Genomic DNA, 20,394 nt, shown 5'->3' with positions numbered 1-20,394 from the left:
TAGACTATCGGTCTTTTCATCTTTAAAAACCACCTAAGATAATTGTAGACAACCCAGTCATGCTCTCTGAACAACCAGCCTTGTTTCTCTCCTAAACTTATCATCAACAGTAGCATCTAGAATGCTGCCATCCTGCTTTGTAAGTTATTTTCTTTTCTTTTTTGTTTTTTGATACAGGATCTCAACTTTGTTACCCAGGCAGGAGTGCAGTGGCACAATCTTGGCTCACTGCAACCTCTGCATCCCAGGTTCAAGCGATCCTCCTGCTTTAGCCCCCACAAGTAGCTGAGACTATAGGCAGCGCCACCACCATATCCAACTAATTTTTTTCTTTTGTATTTTTTGTAGAGACAGGGTTTCCCCCTGTTGCCCAGTCTGGCATCGATCACCTAAGCTCAAGCGATCCACCCATCTTGGCCTCCCAAAATGCTAGGATTATAGGTGTCAGCCACTGCACCCGGCCGTAAGTTATTTTCAAGTAGGAAAAAAAGGAGGCTGCCTGCTCCTTAACTCTTCAAGCCTACCCATCCCTATCAATCATCCCTTCAAACACAGTAAACTATGGCTTTAAATTCACAGCTGACCCAGGAGCCAGTGGCATCTGAAATTTTTTTAAAAGCCAGAGAAGATCTATGTTGACCTGATGATCTTTCACCTTCTAGATCTCCCTGAACCACTGGCCAAATCTTTCAATAAAGAATGTGCTTAACCTGCCTCTTAAGACCCATGTATTTGCACAAGAAGGAAAAAAAAAACCAGAAAAAAAAGCAAAACTAGAGCTGCCTGCCTGTGCTGAAGCTTTTTCAGTAATTTCAGAGCCACTGAAGTGATGTGAGATCAGTTGACAAGAGAAAAACACTCTGAGATCTGCCAGAATGACCCTCAAGGGGAGAAAAATAATTAAACAGGTGGAAAAACAAGGAACACGCAAGACTGATCAAAGCGTTTCTTTTCTGTTGAACAGCTTTTGCTGACTTCTGGTACCATCAGTTTTCTTGAGTACAATAAAGACCAACAAATGCAGAATGTTAGTTACGGGCCTTACTCAATCAGGCTCAAAGGCTTTACTGGGGTTACAGGAAGCCAAGTACCCAGTCCACTAATGTCCTGGGAGAAAAGCCTGAAGGCAGAGCATGGTAGGTTTTCTCTTGCAGCCTGCAGGCTGATCTGATGGGACTTCAATTCTGTCACTTCCTTGCTCTGTGACATTGAACATTCTGTAAGCCTCTGGGCCTCAGCTTTCTCATCCATGGAAGTGGGATTACAGTGTCTAACCTGCAGGGCTGCTGTGTGTTTATATATGTGCATAGAACATAATGGCCTTCCCTTGATAGAAGCAGAGATTGGACATGTGGCCTCTGACAAGTTACTTTTTTTTTTCTACAAGTTTCCCTCTCCTCTCCCCCATTCAGAAAGTGGAAGGGGTAATTCTTCAGGGAATTTGTGAGATGTTACCACAAGGTTACACAATGGCTTGCTGTAAACTATTTTATGTCTTTTTTTTTTTTTTTTTTTTGAGACGGAGTCTTGCTCTGTCACTCAGGCTGGAGTGCAGTGGTGCGATCTCGATCTCAGCTCACTGCAACCTCCAACTCCCAGGCTCAAGCGATTCTCATGCCTCAGCATCCTGAGTAGCTGGGACTACAGGTGCACACCACCACGCCCCAGTAAATTTTTTGTATTTTCAGTAGAGACAGGGTTTCGCTATGTTGGCCAGGCTCGTCTCGAACTCCTGGCCTCAAATGATCCACCAGCCTCGGCCTCCCAAAGTGCTGGGATTACAGGTGTGAGCCATATTTTATGCCTTTTATCAGGGCATCCTCTGTAGGTTTACATGACATAAAATTGCCCAGAGGGCAACTGAAGAGCATCACTCTACAATTTGGGAGAGGTAAAGGGAAAAGAATCAGATGGGTAAGATACATAAAAGGTATATAGCTATGAAGTTGTTCAATACTCAGTACACACCGTGGTTAAACACAGATGCAAAAGCCGGATTGCAAGTTTGAATCTTGGCTCCATCACTGCACATCCTTGGGCTGGTTCCTTAACCTCTCTCAGTCTCATATCCCATAAAAAAAAAAAAAGAATTAAATTAGTCAATATAAATGTAAAAGTTCTTACAACTAGCTGGCACATAGAAAGCTGTTAGCAGGCAGGGCATGGTGGCTCACATCCATAATCCCAGCACTTTGGGAGGCCAAGGCAGGCAGATCACTTGAGGTCAGCAGTTCGAGACCAGCCTGGCCAACATGGTGAAACCGCATCTCTACTAAAAATACAAAAATTAGCCAGGCGTGGTGGTGGGCGCCTGTAGTCCCAGCTACTCAGGAGGCTGAGGTGGGAGAATCACTTGAACCTGGGAGCGGGAGGTTGCAGTGAGCCGAAATCATGCCACTACACCCCAGCCTGGGCAATAGAGTAAGGCTCTGTCTCAAAAAAAAAAAAAAAAAGCTGTTAGCAGTTGTAGCAGAAACATGGTTTTACCCATGGAATATCCATGGGCTTCCCCTTATTTCTTAGCCTCCCTTGTGTTGGGTCGGGACACGTGACCTACACCAATATGCTGAGAACAAGTGTCATTTGAGGACTGAAGCAGGTGAGAGCTGATGCATGCTTGCCAACTTTTTCTTCCCATCACTGAAATTTCATGGAAACCATGTGGTGAGATGGTAGAGACACAAACTGGAAGTAATCCAAATCACTGAGCGGCCACATGGAGAACAGTCACCCTGAAGTCACCCAACTTGTATCAGATTTTGTAAGAAATAAACCTTTGTTACATTAAGCCACAGAGATTTCAGAACCTGTCCTGTCCTGACCGATGCAGCTATTATTAAACTTGTAATCAAGAATGATTAGTCTGAGAAAAGGACAGCAAATTTTAGAAAATTAGGAAACATTTGCTGAGTACCTAGAATGTTCCAGACATCTTGTATAGTGCCTTATCTTCTCTAATCTGGGGGTGGTTTTTGGCACCCAGGGGACATTTGACAATATCTGGAGATATTTTTTGTTTCACAACTGAAGGGGTTCTGCTGGCATCTAGTGGGTAGAGGCCAGGGACACTGCTACAAAGCCCTATAATGTATTAAGTGTACAAAAGGAAACCCTCCCGGCCAGGCATGGTGGTTCATACCTGTAATCTCTGCACTCTGGAGTCTGAGGCAGGCAGATGGCTTGAGCCCAAGAGGTTGAAGCTGCAGTGAGCCCTGATCGTTATGCCACTGCACTCCAGCCTGGGCGAAAGAGCGTCTCAAAAAAATAAAACCTCTCTGCTGTTGGTTTCTGTGACTGGCAACGTTGGGTTGCTTGGCTCAGTATTAATAGTCAAGCAGTTAAGTAAATAAGCACAACTCCATTAATCCAGAATAAAAATACTGTTGGCAACCCATTTAAACATTGAGTCTAAGCACTTGAACATGAGTGTTGCTTCATGTTTCTCCAGTTTGGGAAATCTGTATTTGCAGTTGGCAGAGATTAGGAGTTGCTACACTTAGCAATAAGGAGAGTAAAGCCTTAACAAAACTGGATACAGTTTGTTAAGCCCTCCAAACTGACATGTTAAGATGGAGATGTTTACCAGACATCCAAGTCAAAATATCAAATAAGCAATTTAATGACTACAGCTCAAGAGAAATGGGTTTGAGATAGAAATTTGGGTCTTCAGTATAGGTAATAAAGCCTGGAAATGAATGTGGTCTCACCAATAGAATGTTAGAGAAGTCCAAGAACAAAACCTTGGTGATATGGTTTGGCTGTGTCCCCACCCAAGCCTCAACTTCAATTGCATCTCCCAGAATTCCCACGTGTTGTGGGAGGGACCAAGGGGGAGGTAATTGAATCATGGGGGTCAGTCTTTCCTGTGCTGTTCTCATGATAGTGAATAAGTCTCACGAGATCTGATAGATTTATCAGGCTGCTTTTGCTTCTTCCTCATTTTCTCTTGCCTCCACCATGTAAGAAGTGCCTTTCACCTCCTGCCATGATTCTGAGACCTCCTCAGCCATGTGGAACTGTTAAGTCCAATTAAACCTCTTTTTCTTCCCAGTATCAGGTATGTCTTTATCAGCCGCATGAAAACGGACTGATACAGTATATTGGTACCAGGAGTGGGGTGCTGCTAAAAAGATAACCAAAAATGTGGAAGCAACTTTGGAACTGGGTAACAGGTAGAGGTTGGAACAGTTTGGAGGGCTCAGAGGAAGACAGGAAAATGTGGGGAAGTTTGGAATTTCCCAGAGACTTGTTGAATGGCTTTGCCCAAAATGCTGATACCAATATGAACAATAAGGTCCAGGCTGAGGTGGTCTCAGATGGAGATGAGGAACTTGTTGGGAACTGGAGCAAAGGTGACTCTTGCTATGTTTTAGCAAAGAGACTGGCAGCATTTTACCCCTGCCCTAGTGACTTATGGAACTTTGAACTTGAGAGAAATGATTTAGGGTATCTGGTAGAAATTTCTAAGCAGCAAAACATTCAAGAGGTGACTTGGGTGCTGTTAAAGGCATTCAGTTTTATAAGGGAAGCAGAGCATAAAAGTTTGGAAAATTTGCAGCCTATGTGATAGAAAATTAAAATGCATTTTCTGGGGAGAAATTCAAGCTGGCTGCGGAAATTTGCGTAAGTAGCAAGGAGGCTAATGTTAATCCTCAAGACCATAGGGAAAATGTCTCCAGGCCATGTCAGAGACCTTCATGGTCTGGACATGGAATATCTACGTCAGAGCCCATGGATATTCCACGGGTAAAACCATGTTTCTGCTACAACTGCTAACAGCTTTTCTTTTTTGAGGCAGAGCATTACTCTGTTGCCCAGGCTGGGGTGTCGTGGTGTGATCTCAGCTCACTGCAACCTCTGCCTCCCAGGTTCAAGTGATTCTCCCATCTCAGCCTCCTGAGTAGCTGAAACTACGGGCACCCACCACCACGCCTGGCTAATTTTTGTATTTTTATTAGAGAGCCCTTCCCATCACAGGCCTGGAGGCTCAGGAAGAAAAAGTGGTTGCGTGAGCCAGGCCCAGGGTCCCTGTGCTGTGTGCAGCCTAGGGACTTGGCACCATGTCCCAGCCCCTCTGGCCATGGCTGGCTGAAAGGGGCCAATGTACAGCTTAGTCTGTGGCTTCAAAGGGTGGAAGCCCCAAGCTTTGGCAGCTTCCACGTGGTGTTGAGCCCGCAGGTGCACAGAAGTCAAGAATTGAGGTCTGGGAACCTCCGCCTAGATTTCAGAAGATGTATGGAAACACCTAGATACCCAGGCAAAAGTTTGCTGAAGGGGCGGGGCCCTCATGAAGAACCTCTGCTAGGGCAGTATGGAAGGGAAATGGGGGGTCAGAGCCCCACACAGAGTCCCTACTGGGGCACTGCCTAGTGGAGCTGTGAGGAGACAGCCACCGTCCTCCAGACCCCAGAATGGGATCCACTGATAGCTTGCACCATGCACCTGGAAAAGCCACAGACACTCAACACCAGCCCATGAAAGCAGCCAGGAAGGAGGCTGTACCCTGCAAAGCCACAGGGACAGAGCTGCCCAAGACCACTGCAGGCTGTACCCTGCAAAGCCACAGGGGCAGAACCCACCTCTTGCATCAGCGTGACCTGGATGTGAGACCTGAAGTCAAAGATCACTTCGGAGCTTTACAATTTGACTGCCCTGCTGGATTTCAGACTTGCATGGGCCCTGTAACTGCTTTGTTTTGGCCAATTTCTCCCATTTGGAACAGCTGTGTTTACCCAATATCTGTACCCCCGTTGTATCTAGGAAGTAACTAGCTTGCTTTTGATTTTATAGGCTCATAGGCAAAGGGACTTGCCTTGTCTCAGATGAGACTTTGTACTGTGGACTTTTGGGTTAATACTGAAGTAAGTCTTTGGTGGACTATTGGGAAGGTATGATTGGTTTTGAAATGTGAGGACATGAGATTTGGAGGGGCCAGAGGCAGAATGATATGGTTTGGCTGCATCCCTACCCAAATCTCAACTTGAATTGTATCTCCCAGAATTCCCACGTGTTGTGGGAGGGACCCAGGGGGAGGTAATTGAATCATAGGGGTGTCTTTCTATGCTATTCTCTAAGTCTCATGAGCTCTTATGGGTTTATGAGGGGTTTCCTCATTTTCTCTTGCCGTCACCATATAAGAAGTGTCTTTTGCCTCCCGCCATGATTCTCAGGCCTCCCTAGCCATGTGGAACTTTAAGTCCAATTAAACCTTTTTCTTCCCTGTCTCGGGTATATCTTTATCAGCAGCGTGAAAAGACTAATAAATTAAGCTGAAGGAGGCCGGGTGCAGTGGCTCACACCTGTAATCCCAGCACTTTGGGAGGCCGAGGTGGGCAGATCATGAGGTCAAGAGATTGAGACCATCCTGGCCAACATGGTGAAACCCTGTCTCTACTAAAAACACAAAAATTAGCTGGCCATGGTGGCGCACACCTGTAGTCCCAGCTACTAGGGAGGCTGAGGCAGTATAATCACCTGAACCCCGGGAGGCAGAGGCTGCAGTGAGCCGAGATCATGCCACCACACTCCAGCCTGGGCAACAGAACAAAACTCCATCTCAAAAAAAAAAAAAAAAAAAAAGTTGAAGGAAGAATGAGGGAGAGAATGAGAAGCAAGGAAGCACAATACTGCACGATGGAAGCTAAGTAAAGTGGGCTGGGTGCAGTGGCTCACACCTGTAATCCCAGCACTTTGGGAAGCCAAGGCAGGAGGATCGCTTGAGCCCAGAAGTTTGAGACCAGCCCAGGGAACATGGAGAAACCCTGTCTCTACTAAAAACAGAAAAAGTAGCCAGGTGCGGTGGTGTGTGCCTGTAGTCCTAGGTACTTGAGAGACTGAGGTGGGCCGACTGAACACGGGACACGGAGGTTGCAGTGAGCTGAGATCACACCAGGCCACTGCACTCCAACCTGGGCCACAGAATGAGACCCTGTCTCAAAAAAAGTGCTTCAAGGAAGGAATGGTCAACCCTGTCAGAGTACTGAAGGTCAAGGAGGAAGAGGATGAGCTTTCTCAACCTGGACCACATTGCTGATCTTGACATACAGCTTCAGTGGCACAGCAAGCCTTGAGGGTTTTAACAGTTTAAAAAAAAAAAAAAAAAAAAAAAAAACAGGAAAAGCTCATCCAGTCACTCTTTTGAGGAATTCTATTAAAAAGGAACAGAGAAATGAAACAGTAACTAGAGACAGTAGTGGTCTGAAAAATAAAATCCTGAGTCATATTAAATATGAGGGTTTTTAAGGTCATCTAGTTGTATTGTATCAGAACAAGCAAGGAAATCCCATAATGTTCTTTCAACTGTTTTTACCTATAAGATTTTGCAACCAAAGACTTTCGGCTAAGATGGCCACAGGACATTTAACTTGTAAGGGCTAGTATGAAGGTACTACAGGTATAATGCACATCATCTAGCCCACCAGGAAGGAAATATGCTTAATAACTTGCCCCAGGCTGTCCCAGGACAAGGATCTCTAGAGAAAAGACAACCTACAGACTAGTTGCTTGCTGTTTTCCAAAACATTTGTTGGAAGAAATCACATGACACATGTATCAGGAACATTTTCTAATTATGTATATAAATGGGTATGTGATATGTGTGCTATTTGTGTGCTAATGTCCTAAGTGAAGTTCTGCAGACCATCTGGGTCAAAATGCATTTCGCATGATCAAAAATGAAGAACCACTGGTTGTCACGGAGACAGGGAAAAAAAAAAGAATGGGGAAAAATGCATGACAGAGTCTTTACTTTTAAATGATTATCGATACACCAAGTAATACATGTAACAAGTTCTTGAATTCTATCATCTAGTAATTTTGATTAAGAGAAACTAAAAGCAGCCCAAACAATTCCACTAGTATTCACTGTTCTAACCATTAGCAAGAATGGACTACTTTAAGGCTGGCTGCTGCTTCACACAGGTTACAAAGAACTATTTACTACTTTTTCATAGATAAAGCCCCTGACCTTCAAGAAAGTGTTAGGGAAAAAAATTATTTAATCCCTTCCTTTCTTCAAAGAATTGTTATGTGGTTTTTTTTTTTTTTAAACTAGATCTAAGAAAGAAAAAGTCAACACTGATATACATGTTGCTTGAGCCAAAAGACATAGGAAAAAAAGACAACATATAACCATTAAATTCCTAAGAAATATGAGGTAAAAAGATGAAATCTTTAGATAATTTCTAAGTCTGTACAAAAAAGCTAGATTTGCTACTCTCCAAAAAGTGGAAGGACCTATTATATAATATATGGAAATAATTTAATGCCATATCATAAGAATGTAACTAGAGCTGTGCTAAGCTTCATATTCGTGAGGGCATCTAAAATGCCACTCCACAGCACAGGTGCTTCTCTCTTCTATCCATTTATGCGGTAGTTTTCATGGATTTCTGGCCGAATGTCACAGACAAAAGCCAAGAGGTTGTCCAAGACTTCATCCCTGTTCTGCCGGAAGTATGTCTGGAGGATGGTCATCTTCTCCTGGGTCTCCTTCTCCACTTCAGTGCTGCAACTGCCACGGGATCCCAATGCCTGGAGATGGGGAGTGATGTCACGGAGGGATTATCAGAACAATGCTCTGGTTGGTCAGGTACATTTCGTAAGCTACTTGTTGACTTTTGGAGAAACCCAGGCTCACCTATCAGTATACTCAGAAGCTGGCAATATGACCTCATGGCTGGAGCACATGTGAGGTATTCTCAGAGTTAACAGGAGCCACATCTACCAAAAGTAAACTACACAGTATTCCCACTGCTAGGAAATTATTCCAAAGACATGTATTCGCATCTCTCCTCTAAGAATCTGCTATATAGGCCGGGCGCGGTGGCTCACGCCTGTAATCCCAGCACTTTGGGAGGCCGAGGCGGGCGGATCACGAGGTCAGGAGATCGAGACCATCCTGGCTAACACGGTGAAACCCCGTCTCTACTAAAAATACAAAAAATTAGCCGGGCGTGGTAGCGGGCGCCTGTAGTCCCAGCTACTCGGGAGGCTGAGGCAGGAGAATGGCGTGAACCCGGGAGGCGGAGCTTGCAGTGAGCCAAGATCGCGCCACTGCACTCCAGCCTGGGCGACAGAGCGAGACTCCGTCTCAAAAAAAAAAAAAAAAAAAAAAGAATCTGCTATATAGCCTTAACCAAAGATAGGAATCAACCTAAAAACTCAACTTGCTTCTGTGCAAGAGAACTATTCAGGAATTGCAGTGAACTGTAAAATACAGCTTAAGGAGGGGGAAAAGCAAGATATACAACAGTATCAATGTGGTTAGTATGTTTTTGTACCTGTGGTTTTAAATGTGGGGAGATACAAGGTTTTTAAAAACTCCTAAATAATAATAAACACAAGCCAGTCGTGGTGGTGCATGCCTGTAGTCTCAGCTATTCGAGAGACTGAAGCAGGAGGATCATGACTTGGAGCCCTACCTGAGCAAAACTGCAAGAAGACCCCATCTCCAAACAAGAATAACAAACACAAGGAAGATACAATTTAGGAGGAATATACAAGGAGTTTCACCATTATTGGTTAGTGTTTTAGTTCTTAAGTTCAACAGTGGATTCACCAGTGTGTCACATCTATTCTTGCAAATATAAATATTCTAGAAGAATAAAAAAAGAAACCTGTTAACAGTGACTGGCTCTGAGGAGGACTGCAGGTCTGAGAGAGAGGAAAACTAATTTCTCATTGCTGCCCCCACACTTTTTTTTTTTTTTTTTTGAGTTGGAGTCTCGCTCTGTCGTCCAGGCTGGAGTGCAGTGGCGCGATCTCCGTTCACTGCAAGCTCCGCCTCCCGGGTTCACGCCATTCTCCTGCCTCAGCCTCCTGAGTAGCTGGGACTACAGGCGCCAGCCACCACGCCCGGCTAATTTTTTTTTCTGTGTTTTTAGTAGAGACAGGGTTTCACCATATTAGCCAGGATGGTCTCGATCTCCTGACCTCATGATCCATCTGCCTCAGCCTGCCCCTTTTTATTACCTGAATTTTTAGCGTAAACATTTTACCTCTTCAGTTTCTCTTAGCAATTTCACACACACTGACATGAATTTTCTTTTACTTTCTATGATCTTCACAATACAGCCAGCTTTTTGTTAACTGCTGTGCCTTCTTTATTAGAACTTAACCTATAACGTTCTGGAAGACGTAACTTTTTTGTCTGACCCTTTTTATTCACCTAACCTGTTCTTGCCTCACTATATATACATATATATATATGCTAATAACATCCCTTCATATTTGCATAATATATTAATTTGCAAAGGAGTCTCTCCATTACCTATTCCTCACAACGACCTATAAGGAGGCTATCACTCCATTTTTTTTTCCCGAAGAGATGGGATCTCACTATGTTGCCCAGGATGGCCTCAGACTCCAAGCTCAAGAGATCCTCCTGCAGAGCTGGGACCACAGGTGTGCACCACTGTGCCTGACTTTATCACTCCATTTTCTCTTAAGAGATGGAGTCTCACTCTGTTGCCTAGGCTGGAGTGCAGTGGTACGATCTCGGCTCACTGCAATCTCCACCTCCTGGGCTCAAGCCATCCTCCAACCTGAGCCTCCCAAGTAGCTGGAACTACACGTATACACCACCATGCCCGGCTAATTTCTGTATTTTTTTTGTAGAGTCAGAGTTTCACCATGTTGCCCAGGCAGGTCTTGAACTCCTGGGCTCAAACGATCCACCCACCTTGGCCTCCCAAAATGCTAGCATTACAGGCATGAGCCACTGTGCCCTTAGGGCTCTTCATACTATACTATAACTGTTCATATTACAGGAATCTCCTGGGGCATTTCATTAACAGCTCAGTTGCTAACTCATTCTTTTATGTTCAGAACCCCATTACCTGTTTCTTGAATATAAACCATACGCCAAGCTCCGCTAAGTTGTCTCAAAAACTAAAGAGGTTACAATGGAACACTGCTAGAAAGATTCAGAGCTTGGCTGAGCATGGTAGCTCACACCTCTAATCCCTGCACTTTGGGAGGCTGAGGCAGGTGGATCACCTGAGGTCAGGAGTTCAAGACCAGCCTGGCCAACATGGTGAAACCCTGTCTCTACTAAAAAGACAAAAAAAAAAAAAACTGCCAGGCGTGGTGGTGGGCACCTGTAATCCCAGCTACTTGGGAGGCTGAGGCAGGAGAATCACTTGAACCTGGGAGGTGGGGGATGCAGTGAGCCAAGATCGCGCCATTGCACTCCAGCCTGGGCAACAAGAGTGAAACTGTCTCAAAAAAAAAAAAAAAAAGAAAAAAAGAAAAGAAAAGAAAGAAAAAAGGAATCAGAGCTTGTGCTTTACAGTGCAATACCAGTACCATCTCTATAATCAACTACAGCACAGAATGTAAGAATATGAGGGCACATGTCATTGGGACCTCCTAGGCCTGTGCCACGAAAAAGAAAAAAGAATGTAAAAATATGAAGATGGGCCAGGCGTGGTGGCTCACGCCTGTAATCCCAGCATTTTGGGAGGCCAAGGTAGGCAGATCACAAGGTCAGGAGTTCAAGACCAGCCTGGCCAACACAGTGAAACCCCCGTCTCTTCTAAAAATACAAAAATTAGCCGGGCATGGTGGCGCACACCTGCAGTCTCAGCTACTTGGGAGGCTGAGGCAGGAGAATCATTTGAACCTGGGAGGTGGAGGTCGTAGTGAACTGAGATGACGCCACTGCGCTCCAGCCTGGGTGACAGAGCAAGACTACATCTCGGACAGGAAAAAAAAAAAAAAAGGGGCGGGGGGCGCTGGGCGCGGTGGCTCACACCTGTCATCCTAGCACTCTGGGAGGCCGGGGCAGGCAGATCACCTGCGGTCGGGAGTTCAAGACAAGCCTGACCAACAAGGAGAAACCCCATCTCTACTAAAAATACAAATTTAGCCGGATGTGGTGGCGCATGCCTGCAATTTCAGCTACTCGGGAGGTTGAGGTGGAAGAATCGCTAGAACCTGGGAGGCAGAGGTTGCAGTGAGCCGAGATCATGCCATTGCACTCCAGCCTGGGCAACAAGAGCAAAACTCCCCGTCTCAGAAAAAAAAAAAAAAAAATGAAGATGATGGCTGCCCTGACACAAGGGTATTTCTACATTGTTTTATGAGCAGCCTGACAACTTACAGCACCTATCAGCCCCAGTTCAAGAATCAAAGAAACATGTTAAGTTTTATTTGTATTTGTCTTATTTTTTTGTAGAGACAGGGTCTTGGTTTATTGCCCAGGCTGGTTTTGAACTTGTGGCTTCAAGCAATCCTCCCACCTCAGCCTCCCAAAGTATTGGGATTACAGGTGTGAGTCACTATGCCCAGCCACGTTTTAATGGCACTGTAATTGCCAAGAACAAAGATGATCCAGCACTTTGGGAGGTTGAGATGTGAGGATCACTTGAGGCCAGGAGTTCGAGACCAGCCAAGGCAACACAGCAAGACCCTATCTCTACAAAAACAAAAAAAAAATTAGCTGAGCATGATGGATCATGCCTACAGTCCTAGCTACTCAGAAGGCTGGGCAGGGGAGGATCGCTTAAGCCTAGAAGCTCCAGGTCACCGTGAGCTATGATCACACCACTGCACTAAAGCCTGAATGATAGAGTGTGACTCTGTCTCTTAAAAAGAAAAAATAAAAAATTGATCAAAATTTTTGCTACTTAATGCAAGGAGGGAGGTATGTGCCTTTACTCACTGGACTTGGGCCTGGAAGTGTGTATGCTGGAACTACTAGAGGCCACAGTGTAGAACTTGAGAATGATACAAAGCCAAACACAGAGGTGAGAGAAAGTCCTGAGCATATTATTTAAGCTCTTGGGTTTTTAATTATATAGGCCAATACATCCCATTTAGAATCAGTTTTAATTATATTTTGTTACCTGCACCCAAGAGTCCTGATAGTTTCTTTTCTCTGTGAGGCCCTTATCCATCCTTTCCCCTTTCCACAATTGTCCCTGCCTCCTCTATGCTTTCTGTGATCTGTTTTTGTACTATTATTGTATGCACCATAGTATAGCCTACATCACTGGTAAATGTCTGTACTATATACAATATACTAAAGTGGGGCTCCATTTGATTTATGTTTATGACCGTCACAGCATTTTTCAGTAGTAGCTCTGCATGATTTGCACTGTATTACTGAGTCTCCCTGACCACTGGATGGTAAGCTACACTCCATGAGGGAAGGGACCATGTCTATTCCTGGTCACAACTGATCCCTAGCATCTAGCACAGTACCTGGCGCATGTTAACTGCTTAACAGATACGTGTTAAATGAGTGAATAAATGAAAATTAGAAATCAATATGAATGGAAAAACTGATCATCCTAAAAGACAGATGCCTGAGCAGCCAATAAAACACACAGCTACCACATTTTCAAACTTCGACCAGGATCTCTGAGCTATGCTGGATATTCTGAAAGCCTTGGCGGGACAGGGGATCAGAAACTAAAGCAGTAACAAAAACAAATGGTGCCCCACCGCAGCTTCCTTGGCCTTGAATTCTTTCTCCCTCTGCAGGCGGTACTGTTCAATTTCAGCCTGAGCTTCTTCTTTGGCCTGCTTCAGCCTCCGGTTCTTTCCTGTTTTCAAAGGAGAGAGCTATATCAGGAAGTGGTTAAAAGTAGAAAAGCAAGCAGAGACAAGATGGTATATTATAACAATAAGCCAAGAATAAATTATGACACAGTCCGAAGAGATGTGCATGGGAAAGAGGGAATTCAGAGCTAACAAACAGTACAGGTTCCTCCCTCCTATAGGCTGTACTTAACTAGGAAGTGACAAGACAAAAATGAATACCTTCTGTAACTACAGCCCATTAAAAAGATGGAAAAAAATTGTAGAATGTGTCAGAATATTCTCTCAATCTCAACTATTAAGAACCAACATAAAATGAGTAACATTAACCATCTAGGGAACTCTTCTCCAGAAGTAAACACCTTAAGTATGCTGCTGATTAAAGGTGCAACCCTACTCAGATGCTTAGCAAGAAGGCTAATAAGCTCGCAAGGGACAGCAACATATAATGTAACTAATGAACCAACTATATAATGTAACACTGGAAACTAAAAGCAGTCCCTGTCACAAGGAAGTAAGGACAGTGGTGACTGAGAAGGAATGCTGAATGAGGAGTACTGGACAGTAAGACTGCACAAGTGGCTGAGAGAAGAGGAGACACAGGTATTTTGGTTTCTAGAAGTGAGTGGCTTAACATACAGCTGGAAAAAATCTCTAGGTTTGGTCAGAGTCTACATGAAAACAGACCACAAGGACAGCCAACATATAATCTCTGCTTTGAGTCTCCGCTCACCAATAAAAAAAAAAAAAGAGAGGTTCTAGACCATCAACCTATTTATTTGAGAGCAAAAGACATCCTGCATCTAAAATTAAGCTTTGTTATACAACACTGTACATCATTGTATACCAACTGTCTAGAGTCCACGCGAATGAGTGAAAATGAACTTAACCTTCCACATCCTGATTCAGAACAGAACTTTGGACCTGTAATGAAATGACCCCATGACATCAACATTCCCTGATGCTAGTCTGAAACAATTAACAGGTCTCTCTCTCAAAACTCCAAGAACTATTTCTGCAAGTCCACATTCACTCCAGTATTATTTCTGGCCTACTACTGTCTGCTTCGGCCACCTGTACCCCAATCCTTCACATGCTATCTTCCCATCAGCTATAATGGGCTGTATTTCAAAGCTAAAGATACTTTCGAAACCAACAATCTATAAATAACACTCATGGCCTGAACATTATGCAGTAGCTCCGCATGATTTCACAAGACATCACCTCCCAACTCCCATGGCTCCCTGCATTTATAACTCAGGATAATACCATTTACTGCCTTTGGCAAACATCTTCAACATTCAATTTTGACAGGGGCCTCTAAAAATCAAAAATATTTAAACAGAAAATCGTATTTCTCTTAAATCTTGTTCTTCTTGGGCCTTACATATGGGAGCCAGTGTTTTGTTTCACTCCAATGAAATATGCCATTAACACAAACTTTTTTAAAATTTTAAGGTCCACGCCGGGCGCGCTGGCTCACGCCTGTAATCCCAGCACTTTGAGAGGCCAAGGTGAGCAGATCACAAGGTCAGGAGTTCGAGACCAACCTGGCCACTATGGTGAAACCCTGTCTCTACTAAAAACACAAAAACTAGCCGGGCATGGTGGCAGGCACCTGTAGTCCCAGCTACTCGGGCGGCTGAGGCAGAAGAATCGCTTGAACCTGGGAGGCAGAGATTGTAGTGAGCCGAGATCACGCCACTGCCCTCCTGCCTGGGGGCGACAGAGCGAGAATCCATCTCAAAAAAATAAATAAACAAAATATATAAAATAAAATAAAAAATAATAAAAAAAATTTAAGGTCCAACTCAATGATTTCATTAAAAAAACTGGATGGGATCATTTTATATACTGCCTCTTCCCAACTCTTAACTGGGCAAATCAACCATAATTATAAATCAAGAAAGGCAAATTTTCAAACTGCAGTTCTTCTGACTACCTCTCTGTTCCTAACTATTAACAATTCTGAGACAGGCAAGGCGCAGTCGCTCATATCTGTAATCCCAGCACTTTGGGAGGCCGAGAGTTTGAGAAGAACCCGGCCGACATAGTAAAACACTGTCTCTACTAAAAATACAAAAATTTATTTTTTTATTTATGTATTAATTTATATGTTTTTGTATTTTTAGTAGAGATGGGCATGGTGGTAGGCACCTGTAATCCCAGCTACTTGGGAGCCTGAGGCACAAAATCTCGAACTCTGGAGGTGGAGGATGCAGTGAGCCAAGATGGTGCCACTGCACTCTAGCCTGAGTGACAGAGTGAGACTCTGTCTCAAAAAAAAAAAAAAAAATCTGAGAAGTATGTAAGCCATAAACTAATACTTTGGTTTGTTTTTTGTTTTTTTTTTTTTTTGAGACGGCGTCTCCCTCTGTCCCCAAGGCTGGAGTGCTGTGGGACAGATCTCCGCTCACTGCAACCTCTGCCTCCTGGGTTCAAGCGTTTCTCCTGTCTCAGCCTCCCAAGTAGCTGGGACTACACGCGCACACCACCACGCCCAGCTAACTTTTGTATTTTTAGTAGACACGGAGTTTCTCCATATTGCCCAGGCTGGTCTCAAACTCTTGATCTCAGGTGATCCACCCACCTCAGCCTCCCAAAGTGCTGGGATTACAGGCGTGAGCCACCACGCCCAGCCAAATTAATACTTTTTAAAACCAATTCACAGCTACCTGACATATACAAAACCCTGCACCAGGCTTGACAGGATAAAGGTATAAAACATAAATCCTACCTGGCTAGGGCACTCAGAATTATTCTTACCTATTCCAAGCATTTTTTCCTGCACTTCCCCAATCTATTCTCCTATCCCTCCCGACAGATACAACTTCTGTTACTGATGAGCCATCAGAACACAAACTGTGAGAAGTCATTCTGGAAATACACTATCAAGGGCATGACTGGAAATATTCTGGGAAGAACAAAGAACTTTCCAGTCACCGGAGCAAGAACAAAAGGCTTCTTCTCATTCCCAACACCCTCAAAGAAAGCTTTCCAAGTACCACACAACCCCTAACTGCACAAGTAGAGGAGACATGCTTGAAATCTAGTTGGATGTCAGATAGAATAACTCCTATACTAGGAGAAACACCAAGGAATTACTAAGATCAGTATCTTCGCCTTGCATGGAAAAAGAGGCTTCTGAGTCCCAACTATGTTGCTTCCCAGGGTATGGATAAATCATTTCTCTCTGAGCCTCATTTTTACTATCTGTAAAATAGGGATAGAAGCATCTTTCTCACCAGACGGGAAACTGGATACATAAAGTTAAATGAGACATAGTTTCTGTTCTCCAGAAGCTTAGTCTAGTGACTGAGCCATATAAACAAACAGGTTATTGCACGGCAGTGGCAGAAATCAGCACTTGGGAGGGACTCCAAGCCTAGTCCGGGGGACAAGCATGAGTCAGGAAAGGCTTCCCGGGAAGAAGTGTTTCCTAAATTGAGGTCTGATGGAAGACTAAGGGTCAGAGAACAAAGGGGAGGAGAATTGGAAAAGGCTTCTCACGTCAGAAGAAACAGCGTGTGCAAAAACCTGCAGGTGAAAGACATCATGCTGCTTCTGAGGGACCACAACGATTCAGTATAGCTGGAGGAAAGCACCAGGCCTGACCCACAAGAGCCTCCCCAACTTCATTAAGGAATTTGAGCTTTCTTCTGCAGGAACTAAACGTCTGACTACAAAGGCGGTAGGGAAATCATATCTGCACTTATTTATTTATTTTGTTCCTTACCAGCAGGAAGTCACATATTTGCATTTTAGAAGGATGACTGATTGCAGAGAGGAGAATGGATTGACTGGAGGGGACCAGAACGGGTTCTTCCACTCCCCAGTCTAGATTAAACTCACCTGTTAAATTCTTTAGCAACCTTACATTTCTCCACTCCAGCCCTCATCTCTCCTGCAATTAATTAACTGACCCAATACCTGCTTCCTTCACTGCGACACTGAATGCCACGTTAGGGGAGACAACTGATGCACTGGGCACTGCGCTTGCCACATATTAGACAGAAACACACACACACACACACACACACACACACTGCGCTTGCCACATGTTAGAAACACACACACACTGCGCTTGCCACATATCAGAAACACACACACGCACACACGCCAACGATTTAGACAACTACAGTACCTTTAGAGAAACTGGTGTCCTGGACTAAGACGCTGGTAGTAGACATGGGGGAAAAAGTGAAAGATACGCAAGCCTTGGCGACTGACTAAATGAGGGAGGGAGAAGAGGCAAGCAGGACTCCAGGTTTCTAGACCAAGCAACTGTGTGGATGCTGGCTCCCTTCACCGAGACTGACCACCCCAGAGCGGTTAAGTGGGAGAGAAGAAGAACAAAGAGCTCCGTTTGGAGAGCCCATTTCACATGCCTCCAGGCCCCAAGGACGGTAACCCATTATTGTTTCCACGCCCAATTTACCATCTCACATCGTGGCTTCCAGGCGATCCGCAAGCCTTCCAGAGCCTCAGCTCCTCAAAGCTTCGAAACACACAACCTTCCGCGACTATACGCACGCCCGCACCCCGCAGTTTTTCGGGCCTAATCTACCCACCACCTGAGGCCCAGCGGTCTTTCTTCGACTCGCGCCACGCCGGGCAGCCCCACCCTGAAACTCACTTTTGCGGGCCTCGGACACCTTCTCGGCTGCCCGCTTCTCGGCCTGCAGCAGCTGCTGAATCCCCTGAGACTGACTAGCCATGGCGGCAGCGATTCTGAGAGCAAGGCAAGCGGCCTAAGGCACCTCGAAGGCCCCTTGGGTCAGCTGACACAGCCGCCCACAATCTGCGCTTGCTCCTTGCGCCTGCGCTTCGCCCCCGTTGTCACGTGACCGCACAGCGTAGCATCAGCTGACCGCTCTTGAACTTCTGTGATTCGGCAGAAATGGGGCGGGGCGGGGCTGAGGAGAAAGGAGCGGAGCTCCTCGACTGCGCCTGTGCAGTCTACTGCGCAGTACTGCCCTCTACTCCTCTGTCCGCTCCCTGGCCTCTTTTAATGGCTACCCTGTCGCTGGTTCACTCTGTAGCCGCCCTGCCACGTATAGTGTCTGTTTGCAGTATGCTCAACGTCAAGAGAGGAGGGGCCAAGTCAAATCACTTTCCTCCTACTCTCCACACTGCTCTACTCACTCCCTTTCTGGGACTTTCTTTGGCACTCAAAATTTTATCGGGGTAGTTCAGGAAGATTCTTGCCAGTTCCGGGGATAGAGTCTTGGGTTGCCAGTTAGGAGACTCGGGATCAAGTCTGCCGCTAACCTGTGTGATTTTGGACAGGTCGCTATCCTTTTCTGAACCCGAGTTCAGGAATGGACTGGACTGTTTCCCATAAATATTTGATGAAAGCCTGCTGTGATCCTAGTCCACTGTTGATATTGAGGACATAGCAGAGAGCAGGGCAAACAAGGTCCCGGCGGAGCTCACAGTTTATGGACACAGACAGATTAATTAAAATAAATAGACAATTACAAACTGTGATAAAGTCATGAAGGAAAAATGCAGGGTGCCGTAAGAAGGAACCTTTAGTAAGGGGAGAGGAATATGGAGGTGTCTCTGAATGCTGTACCAAGGAAGTGGTGTTTAAGATCTGAAGGCCAGGCGCAGTGGCTCACGAGCCTGTAATCCCAGCACTTTGAGAGGCCGAGGCGGGTGGATCACTTCAGGTGAGGAGTTCGAGACCAGCCTGGCCGACGTGGTGAAACCCCGTCTTTACTAAAAATACAAAAATTAGCCGGGCGTGGTGGCGCGCGCCTGTAATCGCAGCTACTCAGTAGGCTGAGGCACGAGAATCGCTTGAACCCGGGAGGCGGAGGCTGCAGTGAGCCGAGATCGTGACGCTGCACTGCAGCCAGGGCGACAGAGCAAGACTGTCTCAAAAAAATTAAAATTAAAAAATTAAAATAGGCCAATCGCGGTGGCTCACGCCTATAATCCCAGCACTTTGGGAGGCTGAGGCCGGCGGATCACGAGATCAGGAATTTGAGACCAGCCTGACCAATGTGGTGAAACCTGGTCTCTACTAAAAATACAAAAATCCGGGCATGGTGGCGCGCGCCTGTAATCCCAGCTACTCAGGAGGCTGAGGTAGGAGAATCGCCTGAACCTGGGAGCTGAGGTTGCAGTGAGCCGAGATCGTGTCACTACACTCCAGCCTGGGTGACAGAGCAGACTCCATCTCAAAAATAAATAAGTAAATAAATAATAAAAATTCTCAAAAAATAAAATAAGATCTGAAGAATAAGAAGTTACCCAGGAAAGGATAGTGGGGGATGGAGGCGGTGGGAGATGATTAGGGGAAAAGGACCAGCGTGTGCGGAGTTGGGGAGGGGGTCAACTTGGCACGGAGACATCTCCCCATCCACCGTGAATAGGGAAATAGGAAGCCATGGTTTGAGTTTACAGTATGACGGGCCCTTGTCATCGCTTCACTCACTCCTCACATTAACTTTGATACTGTTACTAATTCCATTTTATATTGACCAAACTGAAGCTCAGAGAGTCGCAAAGTCTCTGAGCCAAAAGTCATGCCCCTATTAACACACAGACAGGGTATTTGAATCCAGTCAGGGCTGCAGAGTAAAACCTCTGAGCTACTGCTTTTCTGCCGGAATCCTCTGGGCTGAGGAAAGGACCAGGTGACCTCTTAGAGTCCACTGAGTGCTGAGAACATAAAATAATGCCAGAATTTTTCTTGATACAAAGATTCTTCACTCCAGGAGCTGGATTCATGGCTCAGGACATTTTCATTTGATTGACGTGGTGGGGTTGGAAAGAACAGAATTTCTATCCTTTTCTGATGTGAGAAACAGGACTGGAAAGAGTTTTGAAGATAAAACA

At 45.2% G+C, this 20,394-nt stretch overlaps 2 protein-coding genes across 3 annotated transcripts in view, besides 6 other annotated features; both read right to left on the bottom strand.

Moving 5' to 3' along the window:
* TMEM268 (transmembrane protein 268) overlaps positions 1 to 2,198 on the bottom strand; it is a 42,519-nt gene extending 40,321 nt beyond the window's left edge. The window contains exon 1 of one of the 2 annotated variants that reach the window (XM_011518351.3): positions 1,969 to 2,198. The gene's annotated coding sequence lies outside the window, so the exon portion shown is untranslated. The remainder of the gene's footprint in view (positions 1 to 1,968) is intronic. The other variant, XM_047422925.1, reaches the window with a different exon arrangement.
* Positions 1,147 to 1,347: a silencer, noted in NCBI's record as "peak7324 fragment used in MPRA reporter construct". NCBI's record gives its function as "represses an SCP1 promoter by STARR-seq MPRAs in K562 erythroleukemia cells {active_cell/tissue: K562}" and the evidence as "EXISTENCE:reporter gene assay evidence [ECO:0000049][PMID:32103011]".
* A 5,024-nt stretch (positions 2,199 to 7,222) lies between the features above and the next one.
* On the bottom strand, positions 7,223 to 18,333 carry ATP6V1G1 (ATPase H+ transporting V1 subunit G1). Its single transcript, NM_004888.4, has 3 exons — positions 18,182 to 18,333; positions 13,450 to 13,550; positions 7,223 to 8,532 (listed from the first exon to the last, which is right to left on the bottom strand). The coding sequence occupies exons 1-3, from the start codon at positions 18,261 to 18,263 to the stop codon at positions 8,359 to 8,361; spliced, it is 357 nt and encodes a 118-aa protein (NP_004879.1). The 5' UTR covers positions 18,264 to 18,333; the 3' UTR covers positions 7,223 to 8,358.
* Positions 17,898 to 18,407: an enhancer, noted in NCBI's record as "active region_28870". NCBI's record gives its function as "activates an Ori minimal core promoter by ATAC-STARR-seq in GM12878 lymphoblastoid cells {active_cell/tissue: GM12878}" and the evidence as "EXISTENCE:reporter gene assay evidence [ECO:0000049][PMID:35858748]".
* Positions 17,898 to 19,054: a biological region, named in NCBI's record as "NANOG-H3K27ac-H3K4me1 hESC enhancer GRCh37_chr9:117349328-117350146".
* Positions 18,236 to 19,054: an enhancer, noted in NCBI's record as "NANOG-H3K27ac-H3K4me1 hESC enhancer chr9:117349328-117350146 (GRCh37/hg19 assembly coordinates)". NCBI's record gives its function as "activates a minimal SCP1, AML or CMV promoter by ChIP-STARR-seq in primed H9 embryonic stem cells {active_cell/tissue: H9 hESC(primed)}" and the evidence as "EXISTENCE:reporter gene assay evidence [ECO:0000049][PMID:30033119]".
* Positions 18,518 to 18,597: an enhancer, noted in NCBI's record as "active region_28869". NCBI's record gives its function as "activates an Ori minimal core promoter by ATAC-STARR-seq in GM12878 lymphoblastoid cells {active_cell/tissue: GM12878}" and the evidence as "EXISTENCE:reporter gene assay evidence [ECO:0000049][PMID:35858748]".
* Positions 19,055 to 19,874: an enhancer, noted in NCBI's record as "H3K27ac-H3K4me1 hESC enhancer chr9:117348508-117349327 (GRCh37/hg19 assembly coordinates)". NCBI's record gives its function as "activates a minimal SCP1, AML or CMV promoter by ChIP-STARR-seq in naive H9 embryonic stem cells {active_cell/tissue: H9 hESC(naive)}" and the evidence as "EXISTENCE:reporter gene assay evidence [ECO:0000049][PMID:30033119]".

The sequence above is a fragment of the Homo sapiens genome, chromosome 9 (genome assembly GCF_000001405.40).
Source record: "Homo sapiens chromosome 9, GRCh38.p14 Primary Assembly".
In the NCBI taxonomy this organism is placed as follows: Eukaryota; Metazoa; Chordata; class Mammalia; order Primates; family Hominidae; genus Homo; species Homo sapiens.
This window is presented reverse-complemented; position numbering and strand designations above follow the sequence as displayed.

Coding starts and splice junctions, on each gene's coding strand:
- ATP6V1G1 (NM_004888.4), bottom strand. CDS start 18,263: ATGGCTAGTCAGTCTCAGGGGATTCAGCAGCTGCTGCAGGCCGAGAAG. Junction 13,551..18,181: donor GGTGTCCGAGGCCCGCAAAA/GTGAGTTTCAGG, acceptor CTTTGAAAACAG/GAAAGAACCGGAGGCTGAAG. Junction 8,533..13,449: donor TCAAGGCCAAGGAAGCTGCG/GTGGGGCACCAT, acceptor CCCCATCTCCAG/GCATTGGGATCCCGTGGCAG.